At 41.8% G+C, this 21,918-nt stretch overlaps 1 protein-coding gene across 12 annotated transcripts in view, besides 5 other annotated features; it reads right to left on the bottom strand.

Moving 5' to 3' along the window:
* The window catches only part of RAD51B (RAD51 paralog B), an 863,318-nt gene that overhangs the window by 300,616 nt on the left and 540,784 nt on the right, over positions 1-21,918 (bottom strand). The gene's annotated exons all lie outside the window — the stretch shown is intronic.
* Positions 3,423-6,441: an enhancer, noted in NCBI's record as "VISTA enhancer hs1688". NCBI's record gives its function as "enhancer in: branchial arch[4/5]" and the evidence as "EXISTENCE:transgenic organism evidence [ECO:0001131][PMID:17130149]".
* Positions 9,443-10,298: an enhancer, noted in NCBI's record as "OCT4-NANOG hESC enhancer chr14:68838900-68839755 (GRCh37/hg19 assembly coordinates)". NCBI's record gives its function as "activates a minimal SCP1, AML or CMV promoter by ChIP-STARR-seq in primed H9 embryonic stem cells {active_cell/tissue: H9 hESC(primed)}" and the evidence as "EXISTENCE:reporter gene assay evidence [ECO:0000049][PMID:30033119]".
* Positions 13,175-13,274: an enhancer, noted in NCBI's record as "active region_8607". NCBI's record gives its function as "activates an Ori minimal core promoter by ATAC-STARR-seq in GM12878 lymphoblastoid cells {active_cell/tissue: GM12878}" and the evidence as "EXISTENCE:reporter gene assay evidence [ECO:0000049][PMID:35858748]".
* Positions 17,422-17,950: an enhancer, noted in NCBI's record as "NANOG-H3K27ac-H3K4me1 hESC enhancer chr14:68831248-68831776 (GRCh37/hg19 assembly coordinates)". NCBI's record gives its function as "activates a minimal SCP1, AML or CMV promoter by ChIP-STARR-seq in naive H9 embryonic stem cells {active_cell/tissue: H9 hESC(naive)}" and the evidence as "EXISTENCE:reporter gene assay evidence [ECO:0000049][PMID:30033119]".
* Positions 17,951-18,478: an enhancer, noted in NCBI's record as "NANOG-H3K27ac-H3K4me1 hESC enhancer chr14:68830720-68831247 (GRCh37/hg19 assembly coordinates)". NCBI's record gives its function as "activates a minimal SCP1, AML or CMV promoter by ChIP-STARR-seq in naive H9 embryonic stem cells {active_cell/tissue: H9 hESC(naive)}" and the evidence as "EXISTENCE:reporter gene assay evidence [ECO:0000049][PMID:30033119]".

The following is a 21,918-nucleotide window of genomic DNA, read 5'->3' as shown; positions in this document are numbered from 1 at the left end:
ATAAGGAATGTCTGGAGTAGAACCCTAACTTTTAAGAATTAGAAAGGCCACTCTGTCCTCTCACAAAATATCTTATGGCGCTGATGTCAAAGATAAAACCTTGAGTGAGATCAGTGATTCTCATCCGGAGACAATTCTTCCTCTCTCTCCCTTTCCCACTCCCCAGGGTATTTGCTAATGTCTGGAGACATTTTTGGTTGTCACAAATGAAGGGATGCCATTGGCATCTACCCAGTGGGAAGAGGCAGAAATGCTACTAAACATACCATAATGCACAGGATAGCTCTCTACAATCAAGAATAATTTGGCACAAAACGCCAATAGCGCCCAGGTTGAGAAATGTCAGGCTAGATAAACCAACTGGCCAGAGCTAAATAAATGGCCTTTGTCTCAGAATGTGTTTTCTGCCAGTCCCTGTTCTTGTTCTTCCTAGGTCTTTTCTCTACATATCCATCCCCCTTGAGCCTCCTAATCCCAAATCTTACTTTATATGTATTTTGCATCCACTGGCCATTACATCTGATTGTTTCAGAGATAATCTGAAGTAAGCACAGGTGGAGTGATAGAAACTGTGGACAGGGTTCCATGCAGGAGAGGTCTTGTGAGTGGACAGAAACTGAGCAGAAGCTGTTTCCTCCTAAATAAGAGCAACTGGAAGGGGTTTTGGGTAGAGACTCAATTGGTGATTTTCATTTTAACCCAATCCACTTATTGTGGCACTGTTATTGACTAATAGGAAGAAGTAGTGTTAGAACCTAATTATAAAGAAACTCTATGGCTTTTTATTTATTTATTTATTTTGAGACGGAGTCTTGCTCTGTCGCCTGAGCAGGCTGGAGTGCAGTGGCGCAAACTCGGCTCACTGCAAGCTCTGCCTCCTGGGTTCACGCCATTCTCCTGCCTCAGCCTCCCGAGTAGCTGGGACTAAAGGCGCCCGCCACCATGCCTGGTTAATTTTTTTGTATTTTTAGTAGAGACGGGGTTTCACCATGTTGGCCAGGATGGTCTCGATCTCCTGACCTTGTGATCTGCCTGCCTCGGCCTCCCAAAGTGCTGGGATTACAGGTGTGAGCCACCGTGCCCGGCCAACTCTATGGCTTTTTTAACAGAAATGCACCATGATCAGTTTAAGGGAACTAGGAAATAGACCAATATTGCTTTAAGTGAAGCTCACATAAGTAAATTCTTCTAAGAAATAGGTAAAAAAGTATTTCCCAGTAAAGACTATCTGGCAAAGTAGAAAGACTGGAATTCTGGTGAGTCAGATTCTAACTAGCTAACTAGCTGTGTGACTCTGAAAAGTCACTTACGGTCATTAGGACTTGGTTTCCTAATCCAAAATAAGAGATCATTTCCAGCAGCTAAATTTGACAATTGACAGGACAAAGAAAACAGGATATATGGGGAAATAGGAAAGAATTATGGATTTGTAATAAATGTGAACATGATTTCATGGCTAAGATTCATGGCTCTATATTCTGCTCTTTTAATTTAGAAATGTATCAATAGATGCCAATTAAACTGTGCTCACCCTACTGATTGATCTAACTTAAAATATTTGAAGTGCCCATCTCATTTATTTTTACAAGACTGAAGTCATCAGTCTTATAAACTGAAGGTTGCCTTATGTGGGTGTACACAAATCACAGCCTTGATGAACAGGGAATTAGAACACAGTTTTCCTTTGCAATCCACATGTTCTAAGCTAATGTTAAAATAGTGAGAACCCTAAGATTGCAACAAAAGATTTGGGATTACATCTTCACTGAAATGACACTGAGGTAGTGGTGCCAGCCAGACTTCTGAGTGAGTTATGGCACAGGCACAGCCCAGAGACTTGGCATTTTTCTGTTTTTATTTTTTTCCACTGATGACTCTTGCTGAGACTGTAAAAGCCAGCGATCCTTCATCCCCCACTCCATCTCTCTGTGGGGAATTATAATATGATTAAATACTCTTAATTATACACACACACTGACATCCTGAGGAAACTGATGAAAACTACCTGGCAGAAAACATAGGTGTATATTAACTCTAACCATCTGGGGCCTGCTGGGGCACTAACCACAACTGTTGGCTTTTACTCCCCAAGTGAGATGTCATTCTGAGACCATGTGTGTGGTCAGTTAATCAGGTGTGTTTCAGTTTGGCTGGGTGAATAGGCTTTGCAATTTTACTTTGGTCCCATCTAACATTCTTAGCTTTTCAAGATGACCAACGGCCTCTGTCAGAGAGGAATAATTGGGAGGAAAAGTAAGCTCCTCATTGGTCAAGTGGAGCCAGACAATTTTACGTGGTTCCCAGAAGCTACTTAGAAACACACTTTAAGCACGAGAACATCTCCAGAACCCGGATGCTTTGAGAAAGAGGCAATTTAAGAGAATGACAGCAAAATAAAAGCCTGGGATTTCAGGAAGTGGTTCCAGGAACAATGTGTATATAAAAATGAAGTGGAATCATTTTTTCCAGGCAATCTACTTTTATACACAATGCAATCGTATGACAATAACTAGCATTTATGAGTATGTGAGTACACACTCTATGTTTATAGATACCACAGCAGCCGCCAACAGCGGAAGAGGGTGAGTGGATCCCTTTGTGACTAGCAGCCTCACTCTTCACCCTGCTAACTTCACCACACCCATGGGAGCCTTGCTTACCAGCCCAGCAACAGTTGCCTTGATTAAAATGTGATGTCCCTGGTCACTAATAATTCTCTTGGGAAGTAGAGGGAAAGTAGCCAAACCATACTATGGGAGGAATGGACAAAATCTCTCTCCCCTTTCCATTCAGATGTATCCTGACCACAGAAATTGTCTTCCCACCAACTTTTCTACCCTCCATTCTACCTTCCAATGTGATTACATTTGTCGGTCTTTCTACTTAATCTTCACATACCTCTGTCATTCCTCTCTTCTCCCTATGGTGGGAGTAAGTATTTTGGTTAACTGCAGGCAGACAAAGTGATACCATTCTCCATGTCCACTCTAAGGCCTAGGACACCGATCATAGACAGGAAGATGGATGAAGCCAGAAAGGGGATTTCCTCTACTTGTCTACCAGTGCACCCCCTTCTCCCAGCAGTCCCTCTGTTTTCCCCTTAAAGCACTTGGCAGTCTCTGAGTAAATCCTATTGACTTGGAATCTGAAAAAATGTTGGCAAAAATCTATTAGCAAAAATTATCTCCAATATATAAATTTTAATTAATGATATAATTTATTTTAGATTTATTCATTCACTCAATCATCCAATAAATATTTATTGAGTTCCTTTATGTACCAGGAACCGGACTGGGTGAGAGTAGCTAGCTATTTTAGTAAATAATGGCATGAGACTTATGTCAGACTGAGCAAGGCCTGGCAATATCAGTTTATCCTTGAATGAGAAGCTCCACTTGTTATTTCCCGGAACAAGTAACAATAAAGCAGCACATATGGCAAATAACAGGTACCTAGTATGTATTTGTTGCTGTAATTGGATGAAGAAGCATTGTTGGGAGAACAAGTAGACTGAATCAGAAGATATGAAGCAAAATTTCTGGGCCTGAGTGTCTCATCTGTAAAATGGGGATCATGCTACCTACATCATTTATTAGACAAGACTGCAGTGAAAATCAAGAGATAATGTATATGAGAGCATTCTGCAAATTATGAAAGCAGAATGCATACATAAACTACTGTGAGTATTCAATCTTGAGATCACAGATAAAAGCAGTATAGTCAGCCCTCCATATCTAGGGTTTCCCCATCTGTAGATTCAACCAATGTGGATTGAAAATATTTGAAAAAAAAAAAGCAATGAAAAATAACAATATAACAATAAAAATAATACAAATTTAAAATACAGCATGATAACTATTTAAATAGCATTTACATTGTATGAGGTATTATAAGTAATCTAGAGATTAAAGTATATGGGAGGATGTGCATAGGTTATATGCAAACATTATGTGATTTTATATAAGGGACTTGGGCATCTGAAGATTTTAGTATGGGGCTGAGTCCTTGAACCAATCCTTCATGGGTACTTAGGGAACAGACCATATATCTCTTCACTTCAACCAACAAAGAAACATTAATAGAGGAAGGTGGTCTCAATTAACCAGGTTGGGCACTAATAAATTAAATGATCTGAGTCTTAAAGGGAAAGGGAAAGAGCTATTGGGAGAAACATGCTTTTTATAATTTAACATATAGTGATTGAAAACAGGAAATACTTCAGTTATGAAAACAAAAGGAGCCCATGTGCTAAAAGACTTAAACATATTGAAGTGGGCCAAAAGTAATTAGGTTGAGTAGGGTAAGGATAAGAAAGTTAAAGCTAATGTTTTATCCTACCGCTAGATTCAGTTTCTGAGTAGATGAAAAGAGTTCAGTGTTTCTCAAACTGGAGTGATATGTGGAGTCCTTTTAAAGGGGAAAAATTGAGACTTGCAAAACTGTTAAAAAATCTCTAGGAGACCTAAGATTAAGTTTCAGAATGACCAGCTTAACAAACTTAAGACTTATTTTTTTAAATGACTTTTAATTGCAAAGTATTGTCTTTATGATTTAAAAAAAAACTTCATAAAAAGTTTAAAATCTCATTAAACTTGCAGACCTCAAGAATCTACAGCTCCCAATTTGAGAAGTGCTGATTTTGTCTCGCTCCTTCCCTTTACAGATGAAGGAACTCGGGCCTGTGAAGACAGTGACTCCCTAAGCCACACAGATGGCTATTAGCAAAAACGGGGCACAAGCCCAGGCTGCTTGATTTCGAAAGCAGAGCTTTTTCCTTCTTCACACAAGCCCTCCTCTGTTTGTGGCAGAGTTCACTATCTGCTCCAGACAGATACTGGTATTGTCCTACACCAGAGACAGGGAAGCAGATGGAGGCGAGAAGGTTCGAAGGGGAAGTGATGTGGGTGTGGCTGATGCAGACGTCATTGCAGCTGGACAAGCAATTTGAAAGAAAGGTATTTCCAAGGCTGGATTCTTCTGCTCATCGTTGAAACAAAGAAACACTGGGTGGAAAACACTGGCAGTTTTAATAGTGGGAACGTTTCTCCCTAACAAGTTTGAGCAGAAAGTAGGAAGAATATGGTCCTGAGCTAAAAACTGGAGAGGAACTAGAGAAGGTATGAGGTTATAATTCAGGGTGGCCAATTTAATCAGCTCATATTCATTAAACACCCACATACACATGGTGCTTTACAACAAACCCCTTCGCTCACTCTGAAGCATCCACAGGCCTGTTTTAAATGGGCCACCCTGTACATGTTGGGAATCTGGCCAGGGTGTTAAGGCAACTGCTTCCCTTCCTAAGAAAAATAGGGTGGATTTTTAGACAACCACAAGTAAAGGCTAAAGCCTCTAGTTTCATATCCCATCTGAAAGCTGGGAAAGACTTGAGGAATCTGTTTTCCAAGAATCTGTTTGCAAAACTCAATAATATAGTAAACCCTTCCATTTCAGACCTGTAACATCCTATACTATCTACATTCCCAGACTTTTACTCTGCAATTTCCCTGGGTACATTTCTCCTCTTTATTGGAGCTGAACTCAAGTGCTTTATGAATATTCCCACATAACGACTGAAGCATTATGACCCTTCAGTTATGTCTAATTAGCCAATCAATGATTTTGGTCACTTCCGGCCCTTGTATAATGTACTCATTGTAACTACAAAAAAACATGTTCTTACCATTGCCTATGTAAACTGCCAAGAATATTTTCAATCTTACTGATTTATCAAGCAACTTTTGATTGCAATCTGAGGAGAAGACTGCCTGGGCCTGTTCCTCTGACAGTCCCCAGGAGCTGGGCCTAGCAAGCTTCTGGTACTATGTGGTCTCTGAATACCAGGGAGGAATGCGGTACAAGTCACCCCACTTGGGTCCCTGCCCAACTATGTTGGCAGGTGCTGTGACTTTTACAAGAAATCTTATACTTCCAAAGATTGTAACCCACACAGAGGGCATCAGACCATTAGGAAAGGCTGAAAAGCTTCCTTGACATCAGACCATTCATTCTTGGATAACTTTCTCATTCTTCCATGATGCCATCCACTGGGAGATTTCAGGAAGCTGAGGACAAGACTCAAGCTGTTGTAATTACAGCTTATAATACAAAGCAAACAGTAGGTGCTCAACTAAATACTGCTGGGTGGTGGGTTGTTTTTTGTTTTTAATTTGGCTTAGTTTCAGTGTGTGGTTTGGGGGGTTGAGATGGGTTCATGAGGTCGTAGATACAAATGGGAAGTCAGGATGGTTTGTTTGAAGTGGCTCTGCATGTCTCCAAATATGTGAGCAGAGAAAAATACTTGCAGTATTGTTCAAGGTAGTTAGGTGAACAATCATAAGAGCTGTAAAATAATAAGCCTACTTTAATAACACCCTCACATTTTACAAAATCCTTAAGTGGCCCCAACAGCTTTGCCTTGGGTGTGCGTGAAATAAATAGCAGGTGGCTTATTTGGCATGTCCCTCCAGTTCAGGAGTAAGTCTGAGGCCCCTGGGTCCCTAGGAGTCCTCCAGCTTAATAAATAGAATATTATCAATATTCCAGAAGCCTCTTGTGTAATCCTTCTCCAATAGCATCATCTTCTCTCCTGCCCAGAGTGAACCTTCATTTTAAACTTGGTGATTTTCATTCAAGTTGTTGACAACATTTCAAAAATCCTATCAAATATATCCAGAATAAGGCTCCCCAAGCCAATATAAGGGGGATATTTCTTTATATTTTTCACTAGAATTAAATAAGCTGATTCATTAATGCATTCAACAAATGTTTACCAAGTGCCCACTATGTATCAAGCAAAGACTTAGGCACTAGAGAAACAGCTGTGAGCAAGACAGACATGGTCTGCATCCTTACAGCCTAAACATGCAAACAGTTACACAAATAATCAGTTAGTTACAGTTGTGAGAAGAGCTCTGTGGGTGAGGGACGGCATACTCTGGAAGTGTAACTGTTAGCTACAACCCATAAGAAGGCATAGGGTCTGGGAAAGTAGCCCTGAGAAAGCATATTGGAGAATGACATGAGGCAGAGGACGCTGCATATAACACACACTAGGTGTCAACGAGAAAATAAAATCGTGATTTAACCATTACAGTTTGTTTACTAGACTCAAGCCTTCAAAACCTGGGATCTCTAAAGAAAAATAGAATAAAAAGTAGAAAGTATGGAAACCACAACTCCAGAGCTCCCCCACCTCACCCACCCCAGCCACTGAAGCTGAGAGCGGGGAAGGAGGGTGTTAGGAAAATTCAGCTTTACCATCACATACAAAGAGATTAAAGGACATCCTCACACCCTGGCTCCTGAAGTGCTATTTCTTAAGATTAAGCAGCAGACCCTTCCCAAGTTTAAATAGGGTAACGCTAAGTTTTGGTTGTTGAAGCAGTTCCATCTGCACTAACCTTTACAAACCATGACTGTGTCAGTTTTTCCAAGCAGGAGAAATGGATGGAAAGCCAGGCCACATCTTAATAGGGCCCTGGTGAGCTAATGGGTGTGATTATTTCATTGTCTCGGATTCACGCCAGCCGAGGCTCATCAGATACGGGCATAATCCAGGAGAAACATGACCTCACTTTCGACATGGGACTGTGCATTCAGATGCCAATAGGAATTTAGTGATCCCTCAGCGCAGGTAAAACTGAGCTCTTTACGGTTTCAGCTAATGAGAAGCATACCAAAGTTACCTAAAACAGTAAAGCTAATATTGACATTAACATACTAGATACTGTTAGGGTATGGGAAGCCAGGAAAAACTTCTGAGACCATCTGTGCTAAGTGTGACACATCTATAATGAGGCGTGTATTTAAGATAAATTGCCATCTCTTTAAATGATTAAGTACCAGATTTATGGAAAGCTATAACCCCACCAGGACCACAGGGTTGTTAAGTGGTTAGGGCTATAAAGGTGAGAATCTCAAGATTTCAGTTGTGCCACAAATTGTCCACTGACTTGCAAAATCTTTGCCAAGGAAACTTTGCCTCAGTTTTCCCAATGAAAGAAAAGGAAGTCTATCACCTAGGTTGTATAGCTCTGAGAAGAGCAAAAGTTTCACAGTCAGGAACATGCATGCCTTCACTGATTCCTTCTCAGAATCTTCTCATTATATCATGTTGACATCCACTGGAAGATACCAGGAAGTACAACACAAGACTCAATGCATTCCAGTTCAGCTTACAGCACATTTGCTCATTATTCATTCAATCATTTTTTTTCTGAGCACCTATTATGTGCCAGAGTGAGACCCTGTCCTAGGCACTAGGAAAATCAGAATGATTAAAAACAGACTTGCTCTCTGCTCCAACGGTGCTTAGAATCTGCTGAGGGAAAGTGCCAGGATTGACTATATGGGAGTTGTGTGATATTGGGCAATTTACTTAATTTCTTTGTTGAGTTTCATTTCCTCATCTTTAAAATGAAGATAATTAACATGTCTGGTATGAAAGTGCTTAAAATTACATCACACACAAATATAAGGTGCCCAATAAATGTCGGTTCTTTTCTTCCTCTCTCCAGATTACAAAGATAAGGCTTACAGAGTTTCAGCTCTTCAAATAAAAGGTGCTTCACAAATGCAAATGACCAAGCTATTATTATCACTGACTACATAAGAGGCAGTGTGGTATAGTGGAAAGATCTCTGGCTTTGGAAACAAAGACTGAACTTAAAATCTTTTTTAAAAATTCTTATTTATTATACTTTAAGTTATGGGATACACGTGTAGAATGTGCAGGTTTCTTACATAGGTATACTTGTGCCATGGTGGTTTGCTGCACCCATCAACCCATCATCTAGGTTTTAAGCCCTGCATGAATTAGGTATTTGTCCTAATGCTCCCCTTGCCCTTGCCCCCCACCCACCAACAGGCCCCGGTGTATGAAGTTCCCCTCCCTGTGTCCATGTGTTCTCATCATTAAATCCCACTTATGACTGAGAACATGCAGTGTTTGGTTTTCTGTTCCTGCGTTAGTTTGCTGAGAATGATGGTTTCCAGCTTCATCCATGTCCCTGAAAAGGACATAAACTCACTTTTTTAGGGCTGCATAGTACTCCATAGTGTATATGTGCCACATTTTCTTTATCCAGTCTATCATTGATGGGCATTAAACTTAGAATCTTGACTCTCCCACTTCCTAGATATGTGGCCTTGAACAAGCCATTTAAACCTCTCTGGCCTCTATGTTTTCATCTGTAAAATGGCAATGATAGAGTTTAGAGGATTAAATAGGACAATAAATGCAACATACTCAGGGTAATCAGTAAGCAGTGGGAAATAGTAAATTAGCAAATAATGGGGACACACATACAAAGCCACTCTCAAAGAAGATAGTTTGATTTAATTACTATAGTACTACTTGCACTTATTTTCATTTACTTGTGAGATTCACAGAGATAGAAAAGCTTGGCATGTCTCTCCCAGAGGCAGGCTGGCCCAGCTTTTTCTGTCCCTTACTGTGTTGCTTGGAGACACTTACCACACTAAGTAAATCATCACCCTACATCCATACTATGCTTCTTTCATATTTGTGAAAGAGCTCTTCACTCACATATGCATGTACTACAGATCCAACAGTGAGTGCTAGGGAAGGAGAATGTTGATTAGAGAACTTCCCAGATGGTATTTATGTATTATGTTCTCTCACATATATTTGAATTCTACTCAAATGCTGTTAGTTTTCTAGGGTTAATTGAAAATCTGATATTCTAAGATCCTTGTTTGGTGTTCTGGTAACTAGAAAGTTAAAAAGTTGGGCTTATGAGTATACCTTTACTTTTCTTCTGGAGTCCCCAAAAGAGCCAAACAGAACTTTCTTCCCTCTTTAAAGTGGTGACATAAGTTTTTAATGACCCTCTTTTCTGTTTCTCTCCAGGAATCCTGCTGTGATGTACTCCATTCTTAGGGTAATGAATTTGCTTTTGTATCTCTTGAAGCAGTCTTGCTTCAGCCTAAGGCCAGCCCATACACTTGGACGAGCATCTCAATCCCTTCTAATACCTTTGAGGTCTTTTACCAATGGTTACCTATCCTTTCCTCTCCAGCATTACTACATGTTCTCTTTTTGCTGCATTATGTACATCAATATCAAAATGCGAAATAAAAAACACCCACCTTAAAAAAAAAACCTCCTTTGACTTCCCCAGCTACCACTCCATTTCACTGTTTCCATTTGTAGTGAAAAACCTTAAAGAATTGAACATGCTCTTTGTTTTTCTCTTTAACCTACCCCAGGCAGGCTTATGTCCCCTACACTCTACTGAAATCACTCTTGTCAAGGTCACCATTGATTGTATCTGCCAAATCCAAGGGTCAATTCTCAGTCCTCATCTTATTGGACCTCTTAGCAGCACTGGACCTAACTCCTTGCTTCTTGAAATATTAGCTTCACTTGGCTTCCAGAAAAAGCACACTCTCATGGATTTCTTCCCACCTGATCCTCTCCTCCCTGCCAGTCTCCTTTGCAGGTTTCTCTTCTATTCTAAATGTTGATGTATCCCCAGGATCAATCTCTGCCATATTCTCACTACAGCTCAGCCCATTCTCCTGAGCTCTAGACTCAGACTCATTTATTCAGCTGCTTTGTCATTGTCCACTTGCATATCTTTCTCTTCTTATTTATTTATTTTTTGAGACAGGGTCTCACACTATGGCCTAGGTTGGAGTGCAGTGGCACAATCAGGGCTCACTGTAGCCTTGGCCTTCCAGGCCCAAGCCATTCTCCCACCTCAGCCCCCCAAGTAGCTGGGACTACAGGTGCACACCACCAGGCCTGGTTAATTTTGTTTATTTTTTTTGTAGAGACAGGGTCTCACTGTGTTTGTTGCCCAGGTAACTGGTCTTGAATTCCTAGGCTTAAGCAATCCTGCTGCCTCAGCCTCCCAAAGTGCTGGAAGCCACCACGCCCGGTCACTTACATATCTCAAATGCAACTATTCTAGGACAGAACCCCTTTTTTTTTTCTTCAGATGGAGTCTCATTGTGTCGCCAGGCTGAAATGCAGTGGCGTGATCTCAGCTCACTGCAACCTCCGCCTCCCGCGTTCAAGCAATTCTTCTGCCTCAGCCTCCCAAGTAGCTAGGACTACAGGCATGCACCACCACGCCCAGCTAATTTTTGGTATTTTTAGTAGAGACGGGGTTTCACCACGTTGGCCAGGATGGTCTCCATCTCTTGACCTTGTGATCTGCCTACCTCAGCCTCCCAAAGTGCTGGGATTACAGGCGTAAGCCACCACACCCGGCCCTCTAGGACAGAACTCTTAATCCCCTAACCTGCACCTCCCACCCCAATCTGTTCTCTTCAACATTCTAGATTTTTTTGGCCTAAATAACTCTAGGAATGGAAAAAATGACACCATTCTCAGTTGTTTAAGATAAAAAATACACAGATAATTCTTTTTTTTTAATTTTCTTTTCTTTTTTTCTTTTTTTTTTTTTTTTTTTGAGACAGAGTCTTGCTCTGTTGCCCAGGCTGGAGTGCAGCAGCACAGTCTTGGCTCACTGCAGCCTCCACCTCCCAGGTTCAAGTGATTCTCCAGCCTCCACTTCCTGAGCAGCTGGGACTACAGGTGTGTGCCACCACGTCCGGCTAATTTTTTTTTGTATTTTTAGTAGAGATGGGGTTTCACCATATTGGGTCGAACTCCTGACCTCGTGATCTGCTCGCCTCAGCCTCCCAAAGTGCTGGGATTACAGGCATGAGCCACTGCGCCCGGCCAATTCTTCATTTTTTAAAATACACTTCACATTCAATCTGTTTGCAGATTTTGTAAGGAATGTCTTCATATTTATCTTGAATCTGACCACTTGCCATCCCCTATACCACACCCCCCAGTCTGAGCCACCATAATCTCTCTCCTGGATTAGTGTTATGTTTGCTGACTTGTCTCCTGGCTTTCATGTGGCCCCCTTACAGTCTATACTCCTACAGAGCAGGCCAAGTAATCTTCCTAAACTGTCAGTCAAGTCATGTCCATCCCTGGCTGAAAACTTTGCATTATGCTTAGGATAAAATCCAAGTTCTTTACCTAGTTTTACATACCCTAGCCCTCTCCAGTCAACTTACAGGCCTTACTAGGTTGTTGTGAATATAAAACTACGTACACAAAGGAACTTTAAAATTATTAGGTGCCATAAATAGATGTTATTGTTGTTGCTATCATTATTATTGGATCAGTTGCCCTTTGGTAAAGAGTTTTAAACATGTCTTCTAAATGTAAACTGTAATTTCTGCCAATGGCTATATGTGATTACAGACAGATCTTGTAACAGGCAAATCCCTTCCTTCTTGTTAACCCATTTATGCCAGAGGTTGCAAAATTTTTATGTGAAAAATCAGACCTTGGTGATGAGCTTAAGCATGAGGATATAAATAACTCCCACAAGCTTAGTGTTCCACTAATGGAACACTAGGCATAAATGGGTTAATAGGTTCAGTCATTATCCTCCTGCTATATATTTAACTTTGTCTTTTTTCCCTTCTGGATTTGAGATGTCCCTTGCAGGAAACAGCAGCTGTGCCACTAACCCTGGACATTGTCCAAGGCCATTTCCATATCCTGTGAGAGAATCATCCCCTCGAAGTTTGTTTTTGCAGCACAAAATAGAAGAAAGATCAAGAAAAAAATATATAGACAGATATAGATATATAGTATGTAGCACTTTTTGTCCAGAAATGACTTCTGTGTGATCAGAGAAATGACTAGGCCATGGTCTCCAACTCAGCAACCTGTACTGAGCTAGTCATTATGATTAGTCCATTCATTACTTAAACACAAGAGGCTCTGGAATGAAACCTAGCAGCCAGGCATAACATATGAAGTATCGATAGGGAAAGTGAAAGATATGGCACCTATTTGAAAGAACAGGAGGAGTTTGTGAAAGAGAAATGTCACTGACTGAGTTGCCCCAAAATTCCAAAGCCAAGCAGCAAACACGTTTTCCCTTGAGAAAGGCAGAACCCCAGTTTCACTTTTTACCCAGGAAGAAACCATGGTATGAGACCAGGAAAGAACCTTAGAGGACACAGCAATGCTTTGTGGATCACCAATACTACTTCCTGAGTGCTCTCATTTTCTCACGGAAGGTTTCCATAATTCAACTCAGTGGACGCAATCTGTGCAAGAGCCGGTGTGCTGAAGGGCAATATGCCCAAGCTGATACAGCACCAACAAGATCCTGATGGTGGTTTCCTAAATGGGTTTCTAAATTTTACAATAGCCAAACCCACTGGCACTAGGCTATTTTTGCCGTAAGTAACTTTTATTTTTAAATGAAACATCAAATACATAAACAACCTTGAGACTCAAGCAATGAGCCCAGTGGGTAATGTCAATATGGAACCATGTCACATCTCCCAAGAGGGATGTATCACCAGGCCTCTTCAGGGCAAGCTTCAGGGAAAAGAGCTGGGTACTCTACAGCCAAGAGACTCAGGAAGGCTGTTAGTTTTTTTGTGGTTGCTATCTCACTGTACACAGATGGGGGAAAACCCTAAAAAATAAAAACAACGACCATAACCAGATTCCGGCAGCTACCCTGAAAATGAGCCACAAAATGTCAACTTGATTTTGTAGTCATGCTTCAGGTGTTTGTAGTCTACTTCATTTAGCCTTATACTTCATTTTCCCTCCCAATTATTAGACTGCAAATCTCCTTTATAATTTCACTGCTCTATTTCATTCTACATGCAGCAGCAGAGTGTTTACTACTTTGGGAAGTAGGTATGGCTGTCTTGTGTTAGGACTTTAGACAATTTCTCTCATTCCCCACTTTAAGAGTGAAGTAAAGATACTAAAGCAGCAGCCTCGGTAGCAGGGATGCAGCACTTGTACCACCACTGCCCCATCATAGAGCATATGGGAGCGGCTGCTGAGCAACTCCATTACAGCAGTCCAAGCGGCCACTATAGACCTTCTGGAGTTGAATGGAAGATGAAATCAATTTGCCCTCTCTAGCTAGAAGCACCCAGGCATTATAGGAAAACCTGTGCAGAAAGAATGAAACATATTTACTTTATAGGAAGAAAAACATAGTCAATAACTAAACTAAAACAAATACAAGAGAATTCAAATATTCTGCCTTTACTCTGGCAGGTGAACATTAGCTTGAAGACTTAGCTATGACCGGTGGGAGAATGGAGGATGAAGGGGACTTGGGCCTTAGCATGCACTGGCTGTGGGATTCTGAGGAATTAACTTGTTCGAGGCTGTGTGCTCATTTGTGAAAATGTAGGTAAAACACCTGCCTCACAGGGTTTCTGTTAATATAAAAATTAAAGGAGAAAAATGAAAATATGTACATGACTAAAGTTAATTCCTTTCCCAATTAGGTTTCTGGTGCTTTAGTTCTTAGAAGCACCTCTACCTAGCTTTAGCAATATTTCCCTAGTAATAAAACATCACCTGTAAACTGATTCAGCAATACATAAACAGCAGAATTCTGCTAATTCTTTTTGGCAACCAGACAGGCCAAAAAGATAGCTATTAAGATAAGAATCAATTCTAAAATGTTCCCTATGGGCTCTCTTTTCTATGTGATTGTCAGAGGTCTCAGGATGTCCACAGCCATAAAAATAGTTGTCAAAACATTTTTTTCAGAAGCTTTCTCTTGTTTCCCTTTTTCTACCACAGCTGTGACACCAGCACTTTGTGTCCATCACTAATAATCCCACTTCCTCAGGACCCAACAGAACTGCTTCTTGATCCTTCTCCTTTAAAAGACGAATAACAGTGTTAGCCTACCTCTTTTATCTGGGCCGATTAATCACCAGGCCAGCTTTTCTGGGTAACTATTTCAAGTGTTGTATCCTCCGCCTGGAATACTCTTCTTTATTTTCCTGTGCTGTCGACTCATCTCTCGTTATCTCCTCTAGTCTCCTCTGGATTTTCCCCACTCCTAAGAAGTAATGGCTCCCTTCCCACATGTTCCTTCAATCCTCATGAACCTGCCTTTCAAATGTCTGTCAGCCTTGCTCTACTTTATACTTTTTTATATCCTCAAGTCTGATATATAGTAGGCATTGAATAAATACTGAGTGAACAAATTAATTAATATAAATGAATTTTAAAATTCTCAGCTTTTCCAATGGTCCCTTACAACTCACACATAAATACGTAAGTCTGTCTCAAGTCTTGGAATCCTCACACTCAATGATACATGTAATTTAGTCTAGATCATAAAATTATGACTAAGGAAGGGAATATCAAGTACAGTTTGAAAACATATCACTGTCATCATCTTTCAGTCCCAAAATGGTATATTTCATGAACAGTTTTATTAAGTGGCCATTTTGAAGAGGCTTTCGGGTTGCCTGCCTGTCAGACTGGACCATGTACAATTACAAAGATTCCACAGTAGTCTGTAGTCCCTTCCTGCATTTTATAAAGAGCACTTCAAAATGCTCTGAAAAAAATCTGTTATGTCCTAAAGCTCCTGAGAGTGAAATGTTACAGTTGGAAGCTGCCTGAAGCTCATTTATACACTGAAGTTATTAATCCCCTTCTTATATGTTTGATATAAGCCCTAGGGCACTTGGGAGGGTGATCCAATTACCCAATTCAGAGAATTGCCCTTTTCTTTCAACCAAGTTCAGAGCTCTGAATTTTTGTTCCACCAATGACTTTTTGTTTCAGTCAAACAAGGTCACGGAAGAGGCCAATATCTGCCAAGGCCAACAGGGGTTTCATTTACATGCCCACTAATGCGAGCAACATAAGAACCTCTTGAGAGCATTAAACTAGGGTGTGGGACAACAAGCCTGTTATTTATTTACCAGTTCCCAAAGCCACCCCTGCCAGTTTCTTGCTATTCAACATTTTTGGTTACCATTTTGGATTTAACGGAACTTTCTTCTGTGCATCTGGAAGATGTGGTGGGATTTGTCAATAGGCAAGAAACCCCTGGGGAAATGTTCAGATGAGCCTTCAAGGCTGCTTTAGTCCAGGGACACGAGGCAGACTAAGCATAGTCTGTACTTCCTTAAGTCAAACATTTCCAAAGTTAGCTTATTTATGACCATAGGGGGTTCTTTTGCCATCCATCATCTTGTCTCAGACCTTTATTAGTTATTTTTGTTGTTGTTGTTTCCTTTACAATGAATACCAAATAGATTCAGTCTTGCTTTAGCTACGACTGGTACACTTTTGTCATGGTCAGAGAGAGGATGATTTGGCCAATGTCTTATCACCGTCACAGACATAGGCTATTTGTCTATGGTATGTTTGTTACTTGAAGCTGATGAACAGTACTTTAGTTGAGAATAAGCATTAACAGATGGTCCAGAGAAATAAGGCAACATGTTAATTTATTTCTCCAAAATTCCAGTACTCCCACTTCAGGATTTGTGAAAAATTAAAATTACACTAAAGTTGTTAAGGGAAGAATTAATCTTAGGAATGTTTATTAAAGTCAAGAATAACTAGTTATCAAAAAAAGTATTTTTAATTTATCAAAAAGCGACACTAGTCTTTGAATTGCTCTGTGTTTGCAATAATCAACAGAAACATCTGGAAAACTCACCTTCCTGCCTAAATATTTCACAAATATATTCAGATTATCACTAAAAAAAAGTCAGGAAATGAAAAGGTAAGTGAAAAAATATTATATTTCTTCTAGTGGCCCAATCATAAAGCCAACTGTTTTTGAGTCTGATATGTGAAAGACATAACAAAATTTGTAAACAGTGGAAGATATGATTTATAAAAAGTAAAAAAAGAAAAGACAGGTTAAAAATATAATTTAGACTGCCATACAGTTTATACAGATGAATTTTTCTGATACATACTGCTCACATGAGAGAATGAAAATGTCTTGATTGCCTTAAAAAATTTGTTTTTTAGAACATGGAGAAAGAACTTGTAGATCACACTGGTAAGTTAATAATCTGAAACTACAAGATGTAGGTTTTAATCTCAAGCTTTGAAATTAATTCCTCATGTGGTTTTGGAAAAGACTTTAATCTGCCTCATCTCAGTTTCTCCAGATGAAATATCTAGATTGTATGATACACCATGATTCATCAAATAGGAAGCCTTTACAGATAATAATGTTTACGCATGTAAGCTCTGAGGTGGGACTGCCTTCAGCAGCTTGAAGACTTTAAAACATAGGACAGAGCAGTAAGACAAACAGGACAGTTCTTTGTCTTCCAGTGGTGTTACCAGGGTGTGGGTAGAGATCACTTCACATCTTTCCTCACCGGACAGCCGAATCAGACACAGAACCTGCCTCCTCTTTATTCTACTTACAGGCCTTTTTCTTTCTGCACATGCCTCTGAAGCTCTGGCGTTAAAGCTGATGATCTATTCCGAGGTGGCCCATAAAGTACGTCTCCCTCAGCCTCCACTGTCACTTTGTTGTGAATCCCAGCCCTAGCCACCCAGTGCCCTGTGCTTTCCTCAGACCCAGGATAGGATGAGAAATGTGTAGGAGCACTACATTCCTGCCACGCTAACCTTCACTCCCTCACCAAAGCTAAGGGCAGTCAGAAGCCAGCACCCAGACATGGGCGTCTCTCTGCCCCTAACACCTGCCAATTCCTGCCCTAAAACTATTGAAAGAATGCGGAGGTCCAGGGAGCTTGAGCGGGAAAAGGGTAACTGGCAGAAGGGAAAACACAATCCTGGTCTCAAAGCAGCAATAAAAATAAAATTAAACCCTCACACACACACATAAGATTCTTTATGTCTTCAATTGAAGTTGCCAGAGTACTTCACACTGGAACTACGTGCAAGAGGATTTTCTGAAAAAACAAACCACACACACAACAGACCTTACTGCTCCCTTGAAGGGGCTTATTTAAGGCAAAACAAGGCCTCCCATCATTCCTGTGAGAGATCATTGTCCCCCTTGTTGCCACAGCGCCCTGTGAGGCTGTGGGAAACAAATGACCTCAGAGGCACTGCAGTATGTGTCACTGCAAAAGAAAAGAGAGTGGAAGGGGCTGGGGGAGGGGGCTGCTGGCGAGTGGAGCCCTCCACCGCGCCCGGCGGTCCTCCAATGATATCCCTCCAGGCACAGCGGGAAGGAGGCTTGCCGGCCCCAGGAGTCTCCCTCCAGCCTGTAACGGGATTAGGCTCCCGCTCCTTAGAAGCAAAGCGTCTTTCTAGATATCCTGCTGCTCGCCCTGGTCAATCTGTCCTCTAAATTGGCCCTCCCCACAAAGTGCCCGCTGACTGCTAGTGTCTCCCTCTGTTTCACGGGTGTCTTGAGTGGAGACAGGGCTCCCCTGAGGCCCGCGATGAGGAGTGGGCGCAGAGGGAGGGAGGGAGAAGAGGGTAGTCAGGGATCAGAGGGGTGGCTGGGGAAGGGGACACACACACTGGGGCAATCGGAGAGCAGGGAGGATGGAGGCGGAAGGAGAGAGGGTTAGGATGAGCGGATCGGGAAGGAACATGGCGAAGCAAAGCTGAGCTCAGCAGCAGATACTTCCTTCGCCACACACTCCCCGCACTGGAGAAGGAAGCCCGTGGAGGCCTCGCTCTCACTGGGGCGCGTGTGGGCAAACAAGCCTGCAGTCCAGCCAGAAGCGGCCTTCCCACCACACAACTTCCTCCTGTGGACGCTAACACTGACCGATGTGGCCCCTTCTCTGCAATCTCTGTGCAATGGAGCGGCTGATACGACTTCCAGCCTACACGGGAGCACACAGAAGCACAGTGGTTGAGGGTAGACTCTGAGTCTCACTAAGTGGGCAACTCCACCTTCACTGCACCCACACACGCGTGTGCACACACACTCCCACTCCCCGCCGGGAGAAAGACTGTGTTACAGCATCGCATGTATGCATTTTACCTTCAGAGATGATACCGGCCCAACCCTCCTCCTTGAGCCACAGAGCTATGTTAACCACAAGGTGGCAAACAAAAACAGGGAAGAAGGACACAGAGTGGGCGCCGCCGCAGGAGAGCCCTGCACACTCCAATGAGGAGGCCCCTGCACACTCCAATGAGGAGGCCCCCTTCACTCAGAGCCTGCACACCTGGAGATGAGCCTGTCTCCATACTGGCGGACACTGAGAATACACAAAAACACTGAAAATAAAACATGATATATTAACAGATATATCATACAGTTTATCTGTAAAATTCCTTTTATATATGCATATATTTTCTATGGAAATGGGTATGCATCACTTTATTGTTTAATCACCTATGTTAATTCACCAAACCATTACTTTATGCACAGTACAAATTTCTGAAAATACCAGAGTTTCAAAAATTCTGTTTATCGATAGAATTTGTTTTGGCTTCTATAAAACAAGGAGACATGGTACTTTGCAGTCTCAGGGGTAAGCAAAGCGGTATGAAAAACTATCTTGTACCCAAAATCTTTCCTCATGAAAGTCTCAACTGTGGCAATGTAGGTTTTTTTGCACCAAGTTTGCAATTGGGAAGTACTGCGATTTGAAAGTAGCTGGGTTCAGTGCACAAAGGCTCCGCCTATTTTCAGTTGTTTACCAGGAACACAAATGTCTCTAGGTTGCCCTCTCTCCTCCCAGTGGTGCCCAGGACTGTGCAAGAACCCCAGAGGCATTTGCCTTTCACAAACACACTCATTCAAACTAGAGATAAAAGTGAGAAGGAGCTAACAACATTTCTGTTCGTTTCTTTTTTTTTTTAATTTTTTTTTTGAGACGGAATCTCACTCTGTCACCCAGGCTGGAGTGCAGCGGCACAATCTCAGCTCACTGCAACCTCTGCCTCCTGGGTTCAAGCAATTCTCTTGCCTCAGCCTCCTGAGTAGCTGGGACTACAGGCGCCCACCACCATGCCCGGCTAATTTTTTGTATTTTTAGTAGAGACGGGGTTTCACCCTGTTAGCCAGGATGGTCTCGATCTCCTGATCTCGTGATCCGCCCACCTTGGCCTCCCAAAGTGTTGGGATTACAGGTGTGAGCCACTGCGCCCGGCCTCTGTTATGTTTCTTTCAGGTCTGGTGCTTACTCTTTTTCAGAGCAGTGATGGTTATGAAAGAACGTAGGTTCTAGAACCAGAAACTTGATCCCAAGCTCCCCAACTTCGCCTCTCTGTCCTCACCTTCTTATCTGTAAAATGGGGCTAACACTTACATCATCAGATTGCTATGAAAATTAGTTAATAATGAATTAATATATGAAAAATCCTTACAAAAATGGCTTGATGCATAGTAATAAATATTAGTTGCTGTAATAATTAACATATTTTTCTTGGCTTACTCTCTTTTAGGAATTTTAGTACCCCAGTCAAGGATTAACAAAAATAATGACAAGAGCTAACATTTATATTTTTTTGAGAGCTCACAATGTGTTAGGCACTAGAGGTCCTTTATATGTATTATATGTATTTAATTCTCACAACAATCCCATGAGGGAAGTTTGTAGGTATCTTCTTATAACCTTTAATAGATACACTGCATTAGTTTGAACTGTATGCTGTGGCCGATATTCAGCCACCTTAGATCTACAGAAGCAGTGACTTCTTAAGTTTAGCCTAATTTCTTTGGGGCGACTATAAAGACTTCAAGGGGCCAGGTGCAGTGGTTCATGCCTGTAATCCTAGCACTTTGGGAGGCTGAGGTGGGAGGATCGCTTGAGGTCAGGAGTTTGAGACCAGCCTGGCTAACATGGTAAAACCCTATCTCTACTAAAAATACAAAAATTAGCTGAATGTGGTGGCAGGTGCCTGTAATCCCAGCTACTCGGGAGGCTGAGGCAGAAGAATCTCTCGAACCTGGGACATGGAGGTTGCAGTGAGCTGAGATCGTGCCGCCATACTCCAGCCTGGGTGACAGAGTGAGACCCTGTCTCAAAAACAAACAGACAAACAAAAGACTTCAAGGGAACAAGGACCAGGTCAAGGGAATAAGATACATGAAACAAGCACCAGGAGACTCTCCCCTTTCTCCATCCTTACCCCCCATAGCTAAAACATAATGAGAGGATATGACTCAGGAAGAAAACAGTAGACATGATGATATTGGGTGTAGAAGAAGAGAAACTAAAGCTCTAGGGAGCAAAGTTAAGTGGCCAAGTGTAAAAGCAGTGGCTCTTGAAATTCCTGGCAAGAGTTCCCCAGCCTCAGAAAACAATTTCAAGGCCGCTCATTCACTCAGTAGGTACTTATTGAGCATCTAATCAGAGTCCTTGAAACAGGGTGGAAATGAGTAAGACCTGGCTTCTAACTTTGGTCCAACCATTTGTTAGCTCTATGACCCTGGGTGAGTTGCTTAACTTGTAAGTGCCAGGGCGCAGAAAACAGTATCCCAAACTATGGTGCTTTGGCAGGCTGAGTACTCTGAACTAAAGGATATTGGGTAGCCTCAGAGCTGCCTCAGAAGCAAAGTCTTTCTCTGACCTTCTCCTGCCCTCCTTGTCTCCCATCTCCCCTAAAGGGAATCACAGAAACCAGAATTCCTCTTCCTCAAGACAGGTCATAGAATCTAGAACCCCTCTCTCCCAAAGCAATCCATAAAACCTAGAAAGGTCATTCTCTCCCTTCTCCCTAAAACCCTTCATTTCAGAGGGGTCCTACCCCCTACCTGGAGGAAGGAATGCTATAGGGAGGCCAAGAAGAATCTGAACAGACAGGCCTTGCTCTGTCTACCCCCTCAGTCTGTCATCATTAGATCAGACCCTTTTTTGTCCAATCACATTTCTACACAGCTGCCCATTCTTCCTCAGACCAAAGCATAGAAACAGACCATCTTCCCTGGGCCTTTGGGTCTACATTTCTGAAGACTCCCTTGTCATGTAAAACTTTGATGAAATACATTTGTTATGCTTTTATCATCAACCTGTCTTTTGTTAAAGGGGTGTCAGCTGTGACCCTCATGATGAGTGAGGAAAGGTATCACATCTTTCCACCCCACCTAAGTCCCAATTTCCTCATCTCTAAAAAGGAGACAATATCATATACGATGTAGAGTTGTTGGGAGGATT

This window comes from Homo sapiens, chromosome 14 (genome assembly GCF_000001405.40).
Source record: "Homo sapiens chromosome 14, GRCh38.p14 Primary Assembly".
Lineage (NCBI taxonomy): Eukaryota > Metazoa > Chordata > Mammalia > Primates > Hominidae > Homo > Homo sapiens.
The sequence above is the reverse complement of the archived record's forward strand: the minus strand, read 5'-3'. Positions and strand labels throughout refer to the sequence as shown.